This window comes from Homo sapiens, chromosome 18 (genome assembly GCF_000001405.40).
Source record: "Homo sapiens chromosome 18, GRCh38.p14 Primary Assembly".
Lineage (NCBI taxonomy): Eukaryota > Metazoa > Chordata > Mammalia > Primates > Hominidae > Homo > Homo sapiens.
Window position 1 is genome coordinate 47,075,627 of NC_000018.10, and position 23,546 is coordinate 47,099,172.

The 23,546-nt window shown below is 41.0% G+C and overlaps 1 protein-coding gene and 1 long non-coding RNA gene across 27 annotated transcripts in view; one reads left to right on the forward strand and one right to left on the reverse strand.

Annotated features, from left to right (window-relative positions):
• Window positions 1-23,546, forward strand: part of KATNAL2 (katanin catalytic subunit A1 like 2) — a 184,650-nt gene that overhangs the window by 158,033 nt on the left and 3,071 nt on the right. For 9 of the 25 annotated variants that reach the window (NM_001353904.1, NM_001353899.1, NM_001353900.1 and 6 more), the window contains one exon: window positions 1,725-1,835. In NM_001353904.1, coding sequence (NP_001340833.1) covers window positions 1,725-1,835 — 111 coding nt within the window. Of the gene's footprint in view, window positions 1-1,724; window positions 1,836-2,476; window positions 2,770-8,705; window positions 12,068-22,546; window positions 23,324-23,546 lie in introns of those variants that run through there. The other 16 variants (NM_001353901.1, NM_001353905.1, XM_011526220.3 and 13 more) reach the window with 7 other exon arrangements.
• Window positions 477-22,609, reverse strand: LOC105372098 (uncharacterized). 2 transcript variants are annotated; one of them, XR_935432.3, is made up of 4 exons: window positions 21,679-22,609; window positions 15,548-15,748; window positions 4,002-4,164; window positions 477-1,827 (listed from the first exon to the last, which is right to left on the reverse strand). It is a non-coding gene; the product is annotated as an uncharacterized LOC105372098 (long non-coding RNA). The 2 variants fall into 2 exon arrangements; XR_002958192.2 differs by lacking the exon at window positions 21,679-22,609 and adding an exon at window positions 17,068-21,672.

Sequence of the window (23,546 nt, forward strand, 5' to 3'; positions counted from 1 at the left end):
GAAGATCCTCTAGCCCCAGGATCCCAGGCTGCCATATCGGTTCTGCTGGCTGAAAATAGCCGCTGTGATGGCCTCCTCTGGAGCCAGAGGGGCTGCCCCTGGGGAATGAGTCTTGCCCACTCAGCCACTGTGCAGGGCCACGTCTGTACTTCACTCCTGAGAGGCAGTCCTCGACGGTGTGTGAAGCCTGGGAAAACACCACTTCTCTGTGGCATCAGGTTATGGCTCAGCAGGGCTGACTTTAAATATGTTACATATATTATCTCTAAAGATTGTCACTGAATATCCTCAGCAGGCAGGAACACTTCTCAGACTGTAATAAGCCTTCTGTTTGTGCTTCCAAAAGCCAGAGTAGTGTTGTGCTTTTTGTTCGTTCGTTTTTAAGATCAGCTTTCTGTCTTGATCAGAGGTATTTTCCACTGAAGCTTTTTACTAAATCTGGCACCCCTGGCTTGAAAAAACAGATCTCTGAGAAATCTCAACACAGCTGCATTTATTAATGACCTTTAATGGACTATCATCAAGGCAGAAGTAATAGTAATAAAACACAATTAATTAGCTTGTTGGAAGTATAACTATAATATAATTTATGAAATTTTACTCATTGGAAACCATTTTCCCAGCAGGGAAAAGCAACCATAAAGATGTACCCAAGTAATATATGGGATTCATGTAATTGATTGAAACAGGACATTTTCCTCAGCTTAACTGGAGCTGGTGCTTGTCAGCCCTAGGCTGGAGCACTCTGCTTTCTATACCAGGCCTGATAGAAGCAGGCAACTGCACAGGCACCTAGATGGGAATGCACCAGCCCACCCTCATAGTCACTCTACAAAGACCAGGTCTCCCTATGCACTTGTTGTTACGTGTGCTTTGTCGAGCTCTGTCCCCAGTTTCCCACAACCTTCATCGAGCTAATGTGAAGACTCTTCATCTGCTATCCTTGTGTGTGCTCCAGGTTCTGCCCCGAATTTCCATTTCCCTGTCTGGGATCAAAGACTCCAAAATTAAGAGTCTTCAAAGGGTCAGGAAATAGGGATGGGTGCTCTGAAGACTTCGATAATATTATGTTAAAGGAATTATAGTTATGGGCAAATGATAATTAAACATATAGCAAATATATGGGCAAATGCTAATTATATATTATGCTTATAATATATAATAAATAAATTATATATATATATATATACACATATATATATAGAGAGAGACGGTCTTCTCTCTTAGGCAAAGGTAGTTGAGTATTAAGGGGCATAGATCCTAAAAAAACATATACCTAGCCAGGCAGGGGGCTTGTGCCTGAGGTCCCAGCTACTCAGGAGGCTGAGGGTGTGAAAGTACTTTCCTGTGTGCTATGTAAGTGAAAGGGATTATCCTCAATTATGTCATTTTTAAAGAGGTAAATAATGCTGCAGGTAGACACAGTTGGGCTGCATTTAATCTACCAGTGGGACTGTGGACCCTTTAGTTATTTTCTCCAGCTCACTGCCTGCCTTTGGTTTTCTTTCAAATACCATCATTATATTCATTTACTTGCTTTCTATCATACTGTATGTGAAAATAACAGCAAATTGCTCATTTTCTCTAACTCTAGTATGAACGGCTCCATTGGCCATCAGAACAGAAACTGTTCTACAGTCACAGGGACATTGCTGTGAATGCTGCTCTTGTCATGAGGGCGAAGGCTCTGACACTTAGGAGAATCACGTCTTGTCTCTCTGTAGGGGAGAACATGAAGGAAGCCTGCGGATGAAGACAGAGTTACTGGTGCAGATGGATGGGCTGGCACGCTCAGAAGATCTCGTATTTGTCTTAGCAGCTTCTAACCTGCCGTGGTAAGAGACCAAGAGAGTAAATTTTGAATACATTTTCAGGAGTCACTAAGTGCAAATAAAAATTTTATATTGACCACTTCAGGCAAAGCTGTGTTGTTTGGCTGCAGCCCTGGAAGATTAATGTGGAGGCTTTACTGTTCAGGTCCCCAATCCTTGCTGTCTGTACCACGAAAGATCTGCCTTAACAGAGGAAACACAGGCCAGGGTGACCATTAACAATATTTAAAATGGACATTTCAAGATTAAAGCCAAATTACATAGTTTGTTTAAATTAAGTAGGACTTTGGCATAGAACTACAAAATGCTTAAAATCTCCAGGACTCAAATAATATTCCAGAAATAATATGTTTGAATTTTATAGTATTAAAATTAAACTTTTTTAAGTTAGGAGGAAAATCTTCTCTTTAATGCTGCACAGTAAATAGAAAGGTAAATAATCTCTAATGGAAAATGTAATCTACTCTCAGAGTCTTATTTAAACAGTGTCCCAGAGTGGTTTAAGAACAATTCTAGATGTGGAATTGGGAAATAAGAGATGTTGATTAGGGAAAAACAATATCTACTTGGAGAATATATTTTAAAAATAAGTATAAGCCCTTTATAGTTCTGAGAATGTTTTCACATACATTATTTCTTTCAAGCTTCAGGCAAAGCAGGAGACAGATAAAGGGAATGCTGTTCTTCCCATTCTCAGAGGGGACCAAGGTCAAGAGAGGTCAATCCACCAACATCAACAACTCTTGTAGCCTAGCTGGGACTTGTGACCTCATGCCCCTCACACCCATCTCTTGCTCTACATTCAAAGATGAAAAGAGAAACTCTTCTGTAGTGCATGCTAATTATCTGGGACCCCCCCCAAACCAGAAGTCATTGAAAAAAACCATAATGTTCATTTGTAATCTGTTATTTTAAATATACTCATAATTTAAACCTGGCTCCACCTCCCCTTGAATCTAGAATACTTTCTCTACTTGCTCAGGTGATCAGCATTTTACAATTTGAAGATATAGGATCTATATATAATAATATCAAAGTGGAGTCCAAACAGAGAACCGTCATTGAAATGTGATTGTGGAAACTTTTAGGGAAGGAATCTTCTTTCCTTCAAAGGTTTAAAACAAGGTTGATCATAACCACTGGGGGTGAATATTAGAGTCAGCTAGGGAGGCAGAAAAACTGTAAGTCTTCAGGCATGAATGTGGGAAGGTCTGTGCCCTGGGGAGACCTACATATTTTCTGGAAGAATAGAGGACCTTCTACCCCCAGTGAATACCTAAGAATTTGTTGAGAAACTTATTGTGCTGTTTCGATTTTCCTAAGCCCAAATAAAATGGTTCACAGAGGTCAAAAAACCAAAAACAAAGCAAAAAACGCATAAAAATTGAATAAGCTTATAAGGGCTTTTCCAAAAATTTGCTTCTCAATGTGTCAGCTGGCAAATACATATGTGCTTTTGAGCTTATGTTCCTTATATCATTGATTGCATCATTACAACGTGCCTTAGAACCAATATGTTCTAACTCATATATCCTGTTTTATTATGAAAAATTCCCAAAAACACTAAGGAAAGGAAAAAAGCAGAATGAACCCACCATCTCCCCGTTTTAATAACTAACACCATCTTGCTCAATTTATTTCATCTATTCCAGCACCACCCCCTGCCACTTCTTTGCTGCAATATCTTAAATCATATTCAACTATTATGTTATTTCTCAAATGTACATGTTGAAGAAAAATAAGGACTTTTTTTACATTACTACAAAGTCATTATCACCCTAACATAATTAACAGTGATTCCTGTTTATATTCAGATTTCCCAATTTGTTTCAAAACTCTCTTTACCATTGACTTACTGAACTGGTATCCAAACAAGGTTTGCACTTTGTAATTGGTCATTCCCTTAAGTCTCTTAATCTAGAACAGACGGCCTCTTTTTTTTCTTTTTTTTTTTGAGATGGATCCTTGCTCTGTCATCCAGGCTGGAGTGCAATGGCACGATCTCGGCTCACTGCAACCTCTGCCTCCCGGGTTCAAGCCACTCTACTGCCTCAGCCTCCCAGGTAGCTGGGACTACAGGCGCCTGCCACCACGCCCGGCTAATTTTTTTGTATTTTTAATAGAGATGGGGTTTCACCATGCTGGCCAGACTAGTCTTGAACTCCTGACCTCAAGTGATCCGCCTGCCTCAGCCTCTTTTTTTTTTCTTTTCCTCCACTTGTCATTGACTTATTGCCTGCCAGAGGGATTGTCTTGCAGGATGTCCACACTTTCTGGATTAGGCTCATTGTGTCCTCATGGTAGTAGGGTTGTTCTTACTCCTGTAATTAGACTAAAGGTTAGATAGATTATATTCAGGATCAATAGAATTTTTTGGCAAACACACTTCATAGGCGATGCTGTGCACATCACGTTGCATTATATCTAGAGGTATGTGATGTCTTGTTGCTCCATTTTTGGTGATGCTAAGATTGATCACCGGGTTCAGGTGTGTCACCCTGGTTCCTTGCCTGTACAGCTCCCATCAATGGTGTGAGCATCCATTGATGACCTCTGCCTGAATCAGTTATTTCACCAGGGGTACAAGTCTATCATTTCCTCTGATCAACAGCTGGAATTATTCTTGATAACAGAACTTTCCCTCTTCCAGTAAGGTTATTTGGTAACCCTGAAATATAGTTCATACTAGAAAAGCAGGATTTTTTTCTCTTTGATTTTTAGTTGTGAGTTGATGCCACAGTGACCTTCAGTGGCAACCAATGAGTCAGCCATCAGCTTCTTTCTCTTTCACTACAAGCTCATGACTTGTTTGGTACAACCCCATTAGTTTCATTTTTTCCCCCTAAAATTTTATTGAGATATAACTCACATACCACCCAATTCACCCATTTAGAGTATACGATTCAATGGTTTTGAGTGTATTTAGGGTTGTGCAACTACCACCACAATCAATTTTAGAACATTTTTCTTTACCCCAAAAAGAAACCCTGTACTCATTAGCAACCATCCCATTTCCCCTATGCCTACATCAGCATTAGGCAATCACTGATCTATTTTACATTCTTGTAGATTTGCCTGTTCTTATACCTATGAGTAGAATTATTGGGTCATACGGCCACTCTACGTTTGATTAGTTGAGGAACAGCCCAACTGTTTTACAAAGATGTTGCACCATTTCACATGAAGCAAATTCACACTTCACAAGCAAAGGATGAGGGTTCCGATTTCTCCACAACCTCGCTAACGCTTGTTATTATATGTCTCTTTTATTGTAGCCATCCGAGTGGGTAAGAAATGGTTTTGATTTGCATTTCTCTGAGACAAACGATATTGTGCATCTTTTCATGTCCTTATGGGCCAATTGCGTATCTTCTTGGGAGAAATGTCTTTTCAAATCCTTTGTCCACTTTAAAATTTTTCTTTTTATTATTGAGTTATAAGACTTTTAAAATATATTCCAGATACAAGCCCTCTATTGGATATATGATTTGTAAATAATTTCTCCCATTCTGTAGCCCTTCCTTCCTTCCTCCCTCCCTCCTTCCTTCCCTCCTTCCCTCCTCCCTTTCCTTCCCTTCCCTCTTTCCTTCCTTCCCTCTTCTTTCTTTCCCGCCTTCTTCCCTCCTTCCCTCCATCACTTTATCCCTCCCTCTTCCTCTCTATCCATCACTTTCTTTCTCTCTTCCTTCCTTTCTGAACTTTTTTATTCCTTTTTTTTCTCTACCTTGCTAAACTTCCCATGTGTGTCTCATTTCCCAAGTCTTGGACCTTTCAGAAGACCCTGTACCTGGTTATTCAACAGCGGCACTGTCTAATAGAAATATAATAGAAATATATTGTGAGGCACATGCATACTTTCAGGTTTTCTATTAGCCACATTTTTAAAAAGTAAAAATAAATTGGTGAAATTAATGTTAATAACATGTTTTATTTAACACAGTATTTTCAAAACATTATTTTAATATCAGTATAAAAATTAGTGTGATATTGTAGTTTCTTTTTTCATACTAAATTGGAAAAATCCAGCATATATTTTACACTTACATCACACCTCAGTTTGGAATAACTGGGTTTCAATACCCAAAAGCCACATGTGGCTGGTGCTACCATATGAGAGAGTACAGATCCAGAGACTCATTTGTCTTCCCTCATGCTGCTGTGGCAGAAATGGACAGTTGCCTCCCAACATTTATTTCACCCTCGGAATTTAAGAATAGAACTTCAAGTTGGGGGTTCTGTTTCTTAGTCTTCCCCTACTGTTAGGTGTGGTCAAGGCCAAGTTTCCTTCTTATATGTGCAGGATGACTCAGCTCCATTTTGTACATTTTGCTCCTAGAATCAGCCACTTATTCATGAAGCCCTTGTGCCTTTAGTGGGAAATGATGTTAATATTCAGAGATTACAGTCTCACAATTAGGCCTTTTGATTAGACAGAGCTAGGAAATACGTATCTTTAAAAAGAGGCAAATAATGAGTCCATGCTAGTATTTCCCATTCAGATTTAGGATTAATATATTTGATTTTATATTGGTATCTTTTCTCTAATAGTGAAAATCTCAGTTCTTAGCATTAATGTAATTAATACTCACTTTATCCCAATATGTACAAATACTGCATATGTGTGTATATCACAGAGCTTCTCAGTAATAACACCAATACTATCTTGACAGTGACATTCTGATGTGGAAAATGGTACTGACCTGGCCTAACTAAGATGAAAGAGCTAATGTGGGATTTCTCAACCTCAGAGCTACTGACATTTTCAGGCCAGATAATTCTTTGTGGTGGGACTGTCCTGTGCATTGATGATGTTTAGCAGCATCTCTGGCCCACTATCCACTAGATGCCAGTAGCACCTCCTCCCCAGCAGTTGTGACAACCAAAATATGTCTTTAGACATTGCCATATGTTTCCTTGGAGGCAAAATCACCCCCAGTTGAGGACCACTGGACTAATCTAAGGATTTGATAAACATCACATAGAGATAAGCTGACACATATTCCACAGCTAAACTCACAATGTTTATTAAAAAAATAAAATAAAATAACTGAACTTGGTTTTCTTACACATAGTTTATTACATAATTTTTTCTGTATCTTGATTTTATCTTAACAAAATACCCTGCCAATCTTTTCAAATAAGTATATAAAGTTCTTCCTTGCTCCCTTTATAGCTGCGCAGGGCTCCATTTTGTGTGTATAATAATTTATCCCACCAGCCACCTAATGATAGGCATTTGGGTTAATCCTATTAACCCAAATTAAAAAGAATGCTGCCGTGAGCAGCAGTGTGGAGACCACACTTTGTGTATTTGCTAGTGTATCTTTGGGGTAGGTTCCTTGAAGTAGATTTTGCTGGGTCAAAGGGCTAATGTGCATGAAAGTATGGTAGAGCCTGCCAAGTTTCCCCCCGCAGAGGTTGTACCACTTTGTATTCCCACTAGTGTCCTGCTTTCATTACTTAACATGACAGCAAGAACATTTCCAATGTCATTAAATCATCCTTGAAAATTGGATTTTGTAATGGCTGCCCAAAATTCTCACACATAAATATACCATCATTTAGTTAATAATTCCTTCCCTGTTGAACATATATGATGATCCCAAACTTTCTCTGTTAGAAATAACACTGAAATGAATTTCCTTGCATAAAAATCTTTGACTAAAGTTCTGGTTGTTTCCTTAGGACAGATTTCCGGAAGTCAGTTTACTGTAGCAGAGGGTTTAGATGTTTCTTAAGTCCCTTGTGACACATTGCTGATGTCCTTCTATGAGAAAATAGTGTATTTTTTAGCAAGAATGTGGGAACAGATCTTTCTCTTGACTTCAGGGTCTTAGATGAGGGAGTAGACTTATCTGATTCAAGCAGTCTGTCCTTCTAGGGGAAATAACTAAATCATACCAAGTGATCTAAAGACCCAGTCTTAAAATCCCAAAAGAAATTCCTTACAGTTAGTGGCAGTTCTCATCTATTGCATCGTCCGGGGCACTAGGCTATTCTTTACTGCTGGTTGACTTACCACCATTTTCTCTAGACACATAGATTCCGTCTCAAAGGGGCAATCATTTTCTCCCTTCCCAGCAGTGACAGGTGTGCAGCCTTTGTTTATTCAGCCCTTCTCCTCCAAAGAGCACCTTCCCTAGTCTATAGCATCACAGAGAGGACCAGAAGAAAGAACAGCTCTTGTGTGTCAATTGATGTATAAACAAGCAAGAAGAGGAATAACAAATGCTGCACCTTCAATATTACTGCTTAAAATAATAGCCATGTAAGAAATTTAGTAAACACAGTTAGAATTTGATGTGCCTTGATTGTTGAGTATTCACAAACTCAAGCCTAAGGGTCAGGAAACAAAATACTGAACAGGCCCATTAAGGCAAATGTCATCTTTAAATACCTATTTAACTCTCTGGGAGTTTGTACAAATAAGGTGTGAAGACTAAATATATGAAGCATGCTGAAATTCATGTTTTCCTTGCTGTTTGTAAAAGGGCTAGAAATCCCAGCAACTCTCTTAAAAATCAGACACCTGGTATACCAAGCTCTGGATTTAAAAATCCCTAACATTTAGAAGAAAACTTAAGATCCAAGAGATGGAATAAAATGGTTCTGATTCACTTGCAGGGGAAATCAGCAAGGAAAAGAGCTGTCAGTCAGCAGTGGCTCACTTGTGTCATCGCCTGGTGACTTCAACTTCTTTTTTCAGCCAAATTTGAAACCCGCCGGGGCAACTGCTAACAGGGATGTCTTTCTGTTATCTATGTTAACCTACTTCTTCCTACATGAACCCTCTCCTGCTGGTGTAACATTGCTATAGCAATGCATGCATGTGATTGGAGGGATAAGCAGATGTAACCCTTGTTCTTTCCATAGTAACCACATGCATTTTTGGGCTCCAGGAAGAAGCTGTCCTCCCTGCCTGCAATCAAGGTCTTGATTGTGCCTTCACTAGATCAACATTTTTCCAAAAGCAGTCTGCCACAGGTCAGCAAGCATTGTGCAAAAAATGAGATCTAGTGGCCTGGTATGTTCAGGAGATACCAAGTTAAAGACAGTTCAACTGGTTTCCCCCAGCAGGGTTGCTCAATGTCTTTAAAATACGACTGTGGGCCAGGTGCAGTGGCTCATGCCTGTAATCCCAGCACTTTGGGAGGCGGAGGTAGGCAGATCACTTGAGGTCAGGTGTTCAAGACCTGCCTGGCCCACATGATGAAACTCTATCTCTACTAAAAATACAAAAATTACCCAGGCGTTGTGGCACGTGCTTGTAGTCCCAGCTACTCAGGAGGCTGAGGCAGGAAAATGACTTGAACCTGGGAGGTGGAGGTTGCAGTGAGTTGAGATTGCACCACTGCACTCCAGCCTGGATGACAGAGCAAGACTCTGTCTAAAAAAAAAAAAAAAAAAAAAAAAAAAAGCCTGCCTCTGGACTCTTGTACTCACACTTACCTGAGTCTAGAATCTGGAATGCAGTGGCACCCCCACCACCGTCTCCCTCCCCTTCAGATATCTGCAGGGCTCTGTAGGTCACCTTCAGGGGTCTGCTCTGATGCCACCCACTCAGCATCCTATTCATAATTGCAGCCCCGGCCCCAGCTCCCTATGCTGCATTCTTGCTTTGTGTTTCTTCCTGTGCTGTTACCAGAAGTGATACTAATTTGGAATTAATGGCGATTAAGCTTTACAGCCCCTTGATTTCCTGGGACCCTTCCTTGGCTCATGGAGAGTCCCCAGCAATGTCCTCATGGTCTTCATTTTTGCAAAATTTGTGAAATGGTAGTTTTATTGCTGGAACCACTTTTGCAAAAATTATATAACAGTTAGAAGATTATGGCAGTGAAAGAGATCTGATCTAACCAACCTCCATCTTGCCTTTAATCATTCCTGGGCTCAAGCCAAGCTAACTTTGGGAGACATTTCGTTTATAGTTTAAATGATAATAACCCTTTTTGAAAACTATGTGGCCTTCCTAAAGCTAATGCAAGACCACCAGGTTAGAAGGATGAGAGGAGCCTGAAGTCGTTAACTTCCCCAGTTACTCCTGGAGATAACATCACTATTGTAGAATCTAAGTAAGATTGGCCTTTAGAGATGTCTTTTAAAGTTTTTGCATTTCTGATGACCCACGACTCCACGTGAACCCACCAACTAGTCCCATGGCCGCCCCCAGAAGAGGACTACTTTCCATACTCCCATTCAATTGCCCACCAAACTATCCTTGAAAAAGCCTAGCCTCCGAAATTTGGGGGAGATTGATTTGAGTAATGACTCCATTTCCCATGTGGCGTGGCCAGGCTTGTGTTTATTCAACTCTTTTTTTATTGCAAATAAATAAATAAATAAATAAAAGATACTATTTGCAGGCTGGGAATGGTGGCTTATGCTTGTAATCCCAGTGTTTTGTAAGACTGAGGCAGGAGGACTGCTTGAGGCCAGCATGGACAACATAGCAAGACCTCGTCTCTACAAAAAAATTGTTAAAAAATCAGCCAGGCGTGGTGGTGTGTGCCTATAGTCCCAGCCACTCAAGAGGCTGAGGCAGGAGAATTGCTTGAGCCCAGGAGTTTGAGGCTAAAGTGAGCTATGATCACACCACTGCACCCCAGCCTGGGCAACAGAGCTGCAACACCCTGTCTCTTAAAAAAAAATGCTATTGTGCTTTGTGACTCTCTATGAAAAATAAGATAAAGCAGTACTTTCCACACTTATCTGACCCCACTCCTTTCCTCAAGGAGTATCTCACAAGTCTAGTGTTCCATTTGAAAACCTTTTGGAAGACATTAGTTTGTATTACCTCACCCTGATCTGATGAATGCATTTTTCATTGCAATTGCCTTCAGTCCTGCCTGTAGGCTTTTTTTTTATTTGGAGACAGAGTCTCGCTCTGTTCCCCAGGCTGGAGTGCTGGAGTGCAGTGGCACGATCTCGGCTCACCACAACCTCTGCCTCCCGGGTTCAAGCAATTCTCTTCCTCAACCTCCCAAGTAGCTGGGATTACAGACACCCACCACCATGCCCAGCTAATTTTTTGTATTTTTAGTAGAGGTGGGGTTTCACCATCTTGGCCAGGCTGGTCTTGAACTCCTCACCTCATGATCCACCTGCCTCGGCCTCCCAAACTGTTGGGATTACAGGCGTGAGCCACTGTGCCCAGCCTGTTATTCATCTTTAATAGTATTTTTGTGCCTACTAGTGGTCAAACCATTTTGCTTGGAATTACTTACATACAACACTTCACTATCCCACACAATAATATCAAGCCCATGATCTTCCATGTGTGTTTTACGGGTAAAACCCATATGACGAGGAAAGAAGTATACTGTGCAGGATTTGGTAGGTCCAGTGGGGAAGGCACATGATGACTAGCAGGAGGTTACTAAGCAGTAACCTTGCTCTTGCTTCGTTCACACCTTACTGTTTGATCTCATCAGACAAAAACAACTTTCAACCTGGTTATTCTGGCATTACCTTTTCTTCTTCACAGGGTGTAGGTTGACATGCGAATCATACATTTCAAACCACATTTAAAACATTATAAAATTATTATAACCATTTTATAGAAAATAGGAGAATTAGAAAAAATACTTCTGATTTCACCACTGTGACTCAAGTATTACCATCTTTGTATCTACCTTTCTGGTGAAAATGGTTTAGTTATTTATCATCTTTTGCTTCCATATCCTTCTCTGGTAATGTTTTTTGTTCCCAAGAGAAAAACAGTTTTTACTCTTTTGGTTATTTTAAAGTAATAGTTGTTTATTATAAAAATCATAATTTATATGCTTTATTATTATTTGAAAGTGAGTAGTCTTCACAATAGCAAAGACATGGAATCAACCTAAACGCCCATCAGTGATAGACTGGATAAAGAAAATGTGGTACATATATACCATGGAATACCATGCAGCCATAAAAAGAACGAGATGATGTCTTTTGTGGGAACATGGATGAAGCTGAAGGCCATCATCCATAGCAAACTAACACAGGAACAGAAAACCAAATACCTCATGTTCTCACTTATAAGTGAGAGCTAAACAATGAACTCATGGACATAAGGAGGGGAACAACAGACCCTGAGGCCTGCTTGAGGGTGGAGGGTGGGAGGAGGGAGAGGAGCAGAGAAAAATAACTATTGGGTACTGGGCTTTGTGCCTGACTGATGAAATAATCTGTACAACAAACCCCCATGACAAAAGTTTACCCCTGAACCTAAAATAAAAGTTTAAAAAAGTGAATAGTCCCCTGTAACTATACCATGGAAAATGATGTAAGTCTCTCCAAACTCTTTTACATCTGTGTGTGTGTGTGTGTGTGTGTGTGTGTGTAGAGCACATACACAGAGCAACAAAAATGCGTTGTCCTGTAGATACAAGTGATATTTGTTCTATGGCCTGTTTTTTTTCCTTCATTTAATCTATTGTGGACAACTTTGAAAATCTGCCTAATCCCACATAAAACTCCATTGTATGTGTGTACCATAATTTATTTGACTTTTCTTTTTCTTGAGCGTTTTTAATCTGGTGCCAGCCTGTTGAACACCTTTTCCCACTACCATGACTCAGTGCCCTGCTGGGCTCCACGGACACTCTAAGGTCGGGGGGCAGTTCTTCGTTCAGTGTTTAGCTGGAATAGGGCAGGTATTATTAAAAGGTTTTTTATTCTGGTAGACCGCCTCTCCTCAGTCCTTTGGCTAGCGAGAGCAGGCTTGTCATGGGGTGTTTGAATCTGTGCATGTTAGCAGTTCTGAATTGCAGGCTTCTCCTGCATTCTATTGGGATAGATGGGAAGTAAAGAGAAAACCCAGGGAACTCACTGCCACACCATTCCTCAAGTCCCAAGGTCCCTAGCTAGCCAGTCCTCATCTTTCCACCATTCAATGTCTCTCCATGTTTATTTCTTGTATTATATCCAGGGATTTTTAGTTGTAAGAGGGTGAACTAGAGAAGAATGGGCTACTCCATCTTGGCCAAAGGAAAAGTCTTGTTCATATTTTTGTTCATAAACATAATTTATTTTACACTCTCTATCAGGGGAGTCTATTTCTGTTGTTAGTTTTTTTCTGCCAGGTCTCATTTATAATGGTTTATTATGTGTTTTGTAATTTTATATTAATTAATAAATTTATTCATTCATTTTTGAGAGGGGGGTCTCACTCTGTTACCCAGGCTGGAGTGCAGCGATGCAATCTCAGCCCACTGCAACCTCCGCCTCCCAGGTTCAAGCGATCCTCCCACCTCAGGGACCACAGACGTGTGCCACCACACCCGGCTAGTGTTTTGTAATTTTAGATTGTTAGCTTACATTAATGAAGTTGTCTCTATCTGTGGGATTCTTGCATGGGTCCCTCCAGAGAATATTTGTTTTACTGTGTCAGTCTTTAAATCACTTTTAGCTAATTTCCCTGTTCAGAATTTTTTGGACCATGCCAATAAGAGGAGATCTGTGGTCCTAACTTATCAGTGAACACTTTCTCCCACCCCAAAGTGCAAGGCAGACAAATTTCCCTGGTGCCTTCCATTGCTAGTGGGGAGATTTCCTAATCAACCCTTTCATAGTAGGCATGCACCCTTCAGCAATACTGAGTCTTTATGTGGTGGGCCTTGACGCCACCTCCCATCTTGAATGGGTCCAGGACCTTCTATGCCATTCTACATGTTGCCTTTAAAACTCAAACCTTTTGTAACCAAGAGACAAACACCCCTAATCAGCCATAGCTTCAACTGCCCAGCTTTCATTTTCAGCTTCCTCTTTATTTTTGGCCCTTGAGAATTCTGGCCCTGTCTCCTTGAGGGCTCAATTGTGCATTCGAAAGGTATTTCCTATAATTAATTGAGCTTTTTAAGGGACTGTATAACAAGAGAAGCTAGTTTATCTTTTTGCTGGAAACAGAGCCAGCCTTCCCATTTTTTTCCTCTCAATTTTGGTAATATATTTTCTGGCAAGAGTAATTGAGGAATATATCTTCTTTGTTGATACTGTAGCAATTAGAAGTTATTTTCATTCTTCATTATAAAGAAATGATGCTCTCAACCCAAACATCAGTAGGACATAAACTGAACTGATAGCTGCAGACTCTCCTACAGTATCCTCAGGCCTCATGCTTCTGAACTCACTGCTCAGAATGAGAAGTGGGGTCTCTGTGGAGGCCACATCTGTCAGCTGATTTTCAAAAGTACTGCCCAGCCACATGGGTTCAATGAATCATCCCCTAAACTCATTGTTTCCATTATTTTCACTAAAGATTAAAATATAACATCTTATTTCCATTGCCCAAGTTGATGCGGCTTTTCTCTATTGATTAGAACTAATGATGATTATAAAATGCTAAAATTTTCAACAAAGCAGATTCACCTTCATAAATAATTCCTGGATGTTAAGGAAGCAGGCCATTTAACATGAAGTAAGTAGCCCTGCACCTAAAGGTCAGTCATGTGTTCAAGTAGTATTTCTTTTAAAAAAAAAATCTATTTTGAGATTAGGTTATAAGACTGGCTAATTTTTGTATTTTTGGTAGAGCTGGGGTTTCACCATGTTGCCAAGGCTAGTCTCAAACTCCTGGACTCAAGTGATCCACCTGCCTCGGCCTCCCAAAGTGCTGGCAAGTGCTGGGATTACAGGCGTAAGCCACCATGCCCAGCTGAACTAGTATTTCTTCTTTTTTTTTTTGAGACAGAGTCTCACTCTGTCCCCCAGGCTACAGTACAGTGGCATGATCTTGGCTCACTGCAACCTTCGCCTCCCAAGTTCAAGCAATTCTCCTGCCTCAGCCTCCTGAGTAGCTGGGATTACAGTTGCCCACCACCATGCCCAGCTCATTTTTGTATTATTAGTAGAGACAGGGTTTCACCATGTTAGCTAGGCTGGTCTCAAACTCCTGACCTCAGGTGATCTGCCCACCTCAGCCTCCCAAAGTGCTGGGATTACAGGCAGGAGCCACCGCGCCCAGCCCGAAATAGTATTTCTTGAGCACCTGTTGGGTATTTATTCTGCATGATGGAGGGAGGGGGAATCCACATCATATGGTCCATAATCTTTGGCCTCTGGAAACTGGCAATCTGATTGAACAATCAGTGGGTTAGAAAATAAATGACTATGAGGCGGAGATGCAGCCAGCACCGTGTGATTGGTACAGACAATAATAAGAATAAAAATATACAAGGGAAAGAGGCAATTTCTGATGACATATAGTTTTAAAAGCCTTTATGAGGTAGAGAGCACTTGATCTGGGTCTATAAACATGACTCGACTTTTGATAGACAAAGTGAAAGTTCCACATAAGGAAAATGGCCTGAGTAGAAACTCAGAACTAGGATGGCAAAAAGTGGATTCTGAGAATGGCAAGCAGACCAGTTTGGCCCAAGTGGGAATTGTAGGTGGGGGACAGCTGATGCTGGGCTCACTGTGGAAGACAAAGTACCCTTCAATGCTTAATCATTGGCTCCCTATTATCAACCACAGAATGTTAATAAATATTAATTTCCAGAGTTGTCCTGACCACTCACTTCATGGTGTTACATAGACATACTGCAAAGACTTCACTTTTAAAACTGAAGGTTGGTTTCTCTTATGCTGATAATTTCAACTTAATACATTTTAACTAGTGAAGGAATAAACTAGAATTATGTTGCTTCCACATTCTGTAAAATTTGGAATGATCTCTGTCCCAGGAACCCTGGTTTAACAGTGGAGACAGGACGAGGGACTTAGGAAGGTACCTGAGGGTTGGCACAGGGGCTCAGCTGATCGGGCACAAGGCCTTGAAGCAAGATGTAAACCGTGGAAGTGGCCAGTGGGTGCTGCACCTTTTATCCAGCAGTGGGCCTGGGTCCAGTGGACCAAACTCTGAGGTCTGTGAGTCTTTGCTGCATTTCACACTTGCTGTACACCAGCAGCTCACACTTGCTGGTAGTTTTGCCCTTTGAGGTGACAGAAGTACCAGAAAAACAAAAGAAAGGAGACATTAAAACAGAGTAACTAGGTTCAAAACTCAAAGTGCAGGGACTAAGGGGAGTGCTTTCTGGTTGCCACAGGTTAAATTTTTTTATATAAATATATTGGCATAAAGAATGATTCCTGGGTACATTCCACTTGTCCTTCGTTTCCTCCCTTGTATATGATTATTGATGTCATGAAAAGTGCATTCATCAGGCCTGGCTGTCAGAGAGTTGCACTTATTTTGTGCCCACAAGCAGTTTTGAGGTAAATCTCTTGCTTTAGGGCATTAGCTAATCAATACAGACATCTGTAGTGAGGGATTGTTTTCCACATCATCTACAAGACTCCATTTTCCTAGGGCATTCTGGAGGGTTCTGGACTTCCTTTAGACAGGAAGTCACTCTGGATGGGACAGGGACAGCAGGAAGAAGGAGTCCCTGTGAAAGAATCTTTCTTCTTTAGCAGCCTGTCTTTTAGAAGCAAGTAGCTGATCCAAAGTAAAGGCCTTGGAAGAAAATATAGCAACTGCTCATTACCCTGTGCTCTGCCATTTCTAGGGGCTTATTTTCTCTTCCCTTGGGGTTTTCAGTCTGATATCAGCTTATTTTTTCTTTGAAATTTACAGGATCAATGATCCCACATGCCAAGGCCCAACCCTCCATATTACTGCCTTTAATTACATATAAGGAAGAGGGCATCTTGTTTCTGTATATTGGAGGCATAGCAATGACTATACACATGGCAGGCAGTAAATACTGCTGAACGGCACTGAATTCCTAAAATATAAATGTAATGATTTAGCTTCCCTGTTAAAAGATCTCCCGGCCGAGTGCAGTGGATCACGCCTGTAATCCCAGCACTTTGGGAGGCTGAGGCAAGCAGATCACTTGAGGTCAGGAGTTTGAGACCAGCCTGGCCAACATGGCGAAATCCCGTTTCTACCAAAAATACAAAAAATAGCCCAGCATGGTGGCACACGCCTGTAATCCCAGCTACTCAGGAGGCCAAGGTGGGAGAATTGCTTGAACCTGGGAGGTAGAGGTTGCAGTGAGCCAAGATCGCACCACTGCACTCTAGGCTGGGTGACAGAGTGAGTGAGACTCCGTCTCAAAAAAAAAAATCCCTTCTCTCCTTTTTTTCTTTTCTCCCCCATCACTTCACCTTTTTCTCCTATAATTCAGTCACAACTGTTAACTGTCTAGATGGACTCTTGATACATTGAGACATTCCAGGCATTCTATGAGTTTCATCTCCTTGGAGAGAAGGCTGGTAAGAGCCTTCTTACCAGCTCCAGGCTCACCTGCTTGTCCTGCACCTAGTCTATAGAGGAAACCCTGGGGTTCCCCATCGTCCTCCTGGAGGGTCCTTCACTCTATGCGTCACAGCCTCTGTTTCTTGAATCCCTTATAGTCCTTTGGTGTGGTTTACTCTCCTCCTTTGGAGAGAATCCTCCAATGCTTTCCTGATAAAGAGTACATGGGAGGTAATTTTTTTTTAGGCCTCACATGTTGAAAATGTCTTTATTCTATCCCCCAACTTAATTGATGTCTTCATCAAGAGATAGATTTCTATGCTAGAAATTATTTCTCATCTGAATTCTGAAGGCAGTGTTCTATTTTCTTTTAATGTCTTACATTGCTGTTGAGAAGTCTTATTGATCCATTGTACATAACCTGTTTTTTCTCTCTGGAAGCTTTTATGATCCTTTCTTTGTTCTCCAGGTTTTGAAATTTCACCACGATGTGACTTGGGAGTCCACTAGCAGTTAACTGAGGCATAGGTTTAGGGACTCGCTGAGTTAAATCTTCATGCCTGCCTCACAGGGTTGTTGTGAGAATTAAATGAATTAATGTCTGTAAAATGCTTGAGACATTGCCTGCCACTTAGTTAAGTACTAGTTAAGCATTTGCTTTTATTAATATTTCACATACAGAAAATTATTTCCTAGAATTCTGGAAAGTTTTCTTGAATGATTTCTTTGATATCCTCCCTTCTGTTTTCTCTGTCCTTTTTTTTTTTTTTTTTGATCTCCTATTGTCTGTTGGCTCTCCTGTAATAATGTTCTCATTTAAAAAACCATTTCTTTCTCATTTCGAATTTGTGTGTGTGTGTGTGTATTTATGTGCATGTTTGTGTGTCTTTTTTTTTCTTTAATTGAGACAGGGCCTGGCTCTGTCACCCAGGCTGGAGTGCAGTGGCATGACCACAGCTCCCTGCAGCCTCAACCTCTTGGGTTCAAGCGATCCTCCCATGTCCCAACTAGCTGGGACTACAGGCATATGCCTGGCTAATTTTTTTGTAGAGATGGGGTCTCACTGTGTTGCCCAGGCTGGATTCGAACTCCTGGGCTCAAGTGATCCTCCTACCTTGGCCTCCTAATGCACTGAATTACAGGCATAGGCCACCATGCCTGGCCTTGTGTGTCTTTCTTGTCCTACTCTGTGAGAGATTTCTCCAGCTTTATCTTCTAAATTTTCCATTGTGTTTTTAATTTCTTCTATCATATTTTGTATTCTCGTTACTGCATTTTGTTGTTTTTCTCTATTCTTTTTAAATGGCATCCTCTTTGCTGTAGTCTGAATGTGTTCCTCAAAATTCATGTGTTAGAAACTTAATCCCCAATGCAACAGTGTCGGATGGTAGAGCCCTATGGGAAGTGTTTAGGTCACCAGGGCTCCACTGTCATGAACAGATTAATGCCATTATAAAAAGGCATGATGGAGGCAGTTTGGTCTCTCTTGTTTGCCTTCCACTTGCCATCATGTGAAGACACATTGTTTCCCCCTCTTGAGGATGTGCCATCTTGGAAGCAGAGGCCAGCCTCTCACCAGACACCAAACCTGCTGGTGCCTTGATCTTGGTCTCCCACCCTCCAAAATGACAATTATGAAATTTCTGTTCTTGATAAATTACCCAGTCTCAGGTATTTTGTTAATAGCAGTTCAAAATGGACTAAGACACTCTTCTTGTTTCATGGCAATATTTTCTTACATCTCTCTGAGAATACTAATTTTTGAAGTTTCATTTCCCTGAAGAATTCTGTTTTCTCCAAGATTCTTTTTATTTTCCACCATTAATTTGTGTTGGGCTCTGTCTTCAAGTTAGAGGAGTTCCACAGATGTAGGTCTTCTTGGCTGCCTAATGTTTATGAGAGGGGTACATTAACAAAACCCACAGGAAGCTCTGTGCATGTGGCAAAGGCTTGCCAACTGTGGGCTCCATGTATTGAGATTTGACTGGGTTACTGTGTTGGGGAACTCCCAATATCAATGTCCTTAGGGTCTTTCTCTTTGGCTGGTCAGATTGCCAAGTGACGATTCTTGCAATCTCCTGCCTGGAGGGCAAGAGTTTGGCTGCTAATAGTCTAGGGATAGTCGGTATCTCATTGCTTCAGTACAGTACACTATTTTCAACTGAGCCTGGTGTTTCCCAGCCTGGAGACCCTCCATTTTACCCTCTACCAAGGTATGGGAGAGGCAGTTCCCCTGCTACTGGAGGGGGTGGAAATCTGTGATCTAACTTTTTTTTATGCAAATTGGCAATCAAACCCCCTATTTTCAACCCAGCCTCACCCTCACCTCTAAAGGTAGAAGAAGATACTGCCAAGTCTCTTGGGGATTCTGTGACTCAGATTATTTCTTGACTTTCTTTACTGCTGATTTAGAAAGCAGCTTCTCAGTTCTACTAAGTTTCTTTTACTCATTATTATGCTTCCCAGCTTTCAAATCTTTGCTTCAATCAGTTCTCCAATTCTCTTTGCTTTTGTGGGTTTATGCCATTCAAAAACTCTTTCAGTGGTGTTTAGTAGGAGGAAGCAGAGGTGATTGTGTTTATCCCCAAATTTAAGTGCAGTCTTAGTTAATTTAAAGTTCATCAACAATGAAGTGTAATATGGTTTGGCTGGTCCCCACCCAAAATTTCATCTTCAATTATAATCCTCATAATCCCCACCTGTCAAGGACGGGACCAGGTGGAGATAACTGAATCATAGGGGTGGTTTCCCCCATGCTGTTCTCATGAGATCTCACTGCACCTTGATGGTTTTATAAGTGCTCACTCTGTCCTGCCACCCTGTAAAGAAGATGCCTGCCTCTCTCTTTTGCTTTCCATCATGATTGTCAGTTTCTTGAGGCCATGTGGAACTGTGAGTCAATTAAACCCCTTTCCTTTATAAATTACCCAGTCTCAAGTATTTCTTCATAGCAGTGTGAGAATGGACTAATACAGTGTTTTTATTTCAACCTTAGTAACACAGACAGCCTTCTGTTGGAACATCCTTGGGTATGAAGGATAACATATTTTTGTGGCTTATATGCAGGAGTGATATTCAAAATATTGAACAACTGGTGTGGTGTGGGTGCTGACCAGTCAAGGGGAACAGCATCATTCTTGCTGCCTGCTGGCTGTATATTATTGCTGAGTATGAACAAGGAAGAAACCATCTGAAGCAAAGATGAGCACATCCTCAATTGGAGTGCTAGGCAAAGTTCTGCTGTGAAGCGTGTTTTTTTCTTCTTTTCCTTGACCCTGTGCCTTGAATATAAATGTGCCTTGAGAGGGGGAATGATTGTGCAAGGGAAGAGGTGGCTGAGTCTCTGATGTGCGATGAATGTCAACAGGGTGAGACTGATAAAAGAACAAAGCAAATGCAAAAAAGAAATAGGTCATTGTTACTGTCGGTAAGGCACCCCTGGACTATGGATTCTCAGCTCAGGGTTAGACAAACAATAGGAGAGGAAAAGACACACTCCTTAAAGAAATCTGGTTGCTGTGATTTAGGATTCAGATATGTTCCCTGGAAGTATGTTTTCAGTTTAAAAAGAAATATTGTAACATAGATTCAGAATGAGAATAAGAAAAAATGGGAAGACAGTTTAGATATTCTCAGTGTTTTTATGAGTGAGAAATACCTGGTGATGACGTTTTCATTGTTACTCTTTTTTAAAAAATATTTAAAATTTTATTTTTTAAAAAATTTATTTCTGTCACTCAGGCTGGAGTGCAATAGTATGATCTCGGCTCACTACAACCTCGGCTTCCTGGGCTCAGGTGACTCTCCTACCTCAGCCTCTCAAGTAGCTGAGACTACAGGCGTGCATCACCACACCCGGCTAATTTTTATATTGTGCAGAGACGGGGTCTCACTATGTTGCCCAGCATAGTCAGCGAATCTTCTACCTCAGCTTCCCCAAGGGCTGGGATTACAGGCGTGAGCCACCGCACTCAGCTCATTGTTACTCTTTATCAATGGTTAGGCTAACATACAGGAATTTCCTAATTTCTATCCTAGAAAATCAAATAAACAGTTCACAGACTCACACTCAAGATGATCTATTGATAATAGGAATGGTAATTTAGAGTAACCAAATAGCCTCAGCTGATGAGGGAAAGCTCTGCTTTACATAATAGTGCTATGTAATTTCATAATAACTCCAAATAATGTATTTGGAATGAAAAATCCAGGCCAGGCGTGGTGGTTCACACCTGTAATCCTAGCACTTTGGGAGGCTGAGGCGGGTGGACTGCTTGAGCTCAGTAGTTCAAGACCAGCATGGTTAACATGGTGAAACTGCATCCAAAAAATATTAGCCGGGCTCGCACCTGTAGTCCCAGCTACTGGGGGGCTGAGGCAGAAGGATCGCTTGAGTCCAGGAGGTGTAGGTTGCAGTGAGCTGTGACGGCACCACTGCACTCCAGCCTGGGCAACAGAGGAAGACCCTGGCTCAAAAAAAAAAAAAAAAAAAAAATCCAACTCTGTGTGTGTATGTGTGTGTTTAATCAGCATTTGCAACCTCTAGTGAAATAATTGATTCAGACAAAGATCATTAATAGATGCTAAAACCATTAGTTGAAAGGGCATAAGGAATTGGGTATTCCTATGGTGTCAAAGTATTGTACACAGAATACTTACTACTTGCTGAGAGAAGATGTTTTTCTTTACAACGGAGAGTTCCATGGCCACCAGAAAATCAAACACCACACCGACAGTGAGATACACAGATGTGTGGATCCTGATGAATATGAAAACACATCATCATCTATGCAATACGCTTGCCAAAAAATATTTACCCTAAATCTCATTAAGCTTTTAGAACTTCCCTCTTAGAGACAGGGAATAGAGGAACCAGTTTCATGTATCACAAGGAAATCATCAGACAAATTCAGAATGTGGGACATTCTCCAGCTGGCCCTGTTTCTTCAAAAAGGGTCTAGGGCAAGCAGGCTGGCCTAGATTAAAAAGAGGTTTAAGAGACAGAACCATACATGATGCATATGTGTTCACTGGATTTTGTCAGAAAATGATGGAAGGTATTTTGGGGATGGTTGGAGTATTTTATTTTTTAACTTTTATTTAAGCTCAGGGGTACATGTGCAGGTTTGTTGTATAGGTGAACTTGTGTCATGGGGGTTTGCTGTACAGATTATTTCATCACCCAGGTATTAAGCCTAGTACCCATTAGTTGTTTTTCCTGATCCTCTCCTCCTCCCACCCTCCACCCTGACTGGAGAAATCTGAATATGGACTGAGCATTAGACACATCACAGAATCAGTTTTGCCAGGTGTCATAATGATATTGTGGCTATGTAAGCAAATGCCCTTCTTTGGAAATGCATGCTAAAATATTTAGGGATGAGGTGTCATGATATAAATTACTTTGAAATAATTTAGCAAGAATAGGTAGATAGAGAGATATGAAGCAGATATAGAAGAATACTGATGTTGAATCAAGATGGTATGTATATAGATGTTCAATTGTTTTATTCTACTTTTATATTAGCTTGAAAGCCATTGCACTCCAGCCTGGCGACAGAGCAAGACTCCGTCTCAAAAAAAAAAAAAGTGTACTAGTCCATTTTCATGCTGCTGGTGAAGACATATCCAAGACTGGGAAGAAAAAAAAATTAACTGGACTTACAGTTTCACATGGATGGGGAGCCTCAGAATCATGGCGGGGGGCAAAAGACACTTCTTATATGGTGGCAGCAAGAGAAAATGAGGAAGACGCAAGAAGCGGAAACCCCTGATAAAACCATCAGACCTTGTGAGACTTATTCACTACCATGAGAACAGCATGCGTGGTGGAAACTGCTCACGATTCAAATTATCTCCTACTGGGTCCCTCCCACAACACGTGGGAATTATGCGATTACAATTCAAGATGAGATTTGGGTGGGGACACAGAGCCAAACCATATCAAGAAGTTTAAGGAAATGGCCTATGGATGCAAAATCACATAAACTTGGCCTGACAGTTTTGGGAGGAGTAAAAGTGAGTGTCTGAAAGGGCGGTTATTTGCACTGGGCACCCAGGAAGGGCCACTGGTGCTAAGTTCACCAATGTAATGAAGTGAGGGGTCATTCACTCCAGAAGGACTGAGAATTTTGGAAGAATTAATGTACTTAGAGTGCCCAACTTATTGTCAGCAATAATTTACTCACTGGCAAGATCGGACTGAATAATTCATGTTACAACTGCAATCAGAATACTCATGATTGCTGGTTGTTAGTTGGTTTTTGTACCCCAAATTAAGTCGCATAAAATTACTTCCTTTTCATTAGTTCTGAGAATGTGCTCTTTTCCTTTTCTTCCATTCATCCTTCCTTCCTTCTCTTTCTTCTCCTTCCTTTCTGCTTTCCTCTCTTCCCTTCCTTCCCTCCCTCAGTTCTCTTTCTCACCAATTCTTTCTCCAAATAATATTAATTGTCCCATCCACTCAAGGCATAGATGTAGAGTGACAGTTAAAATGCAGAATTGCTTCCTGCAATGCTAAATTGTTC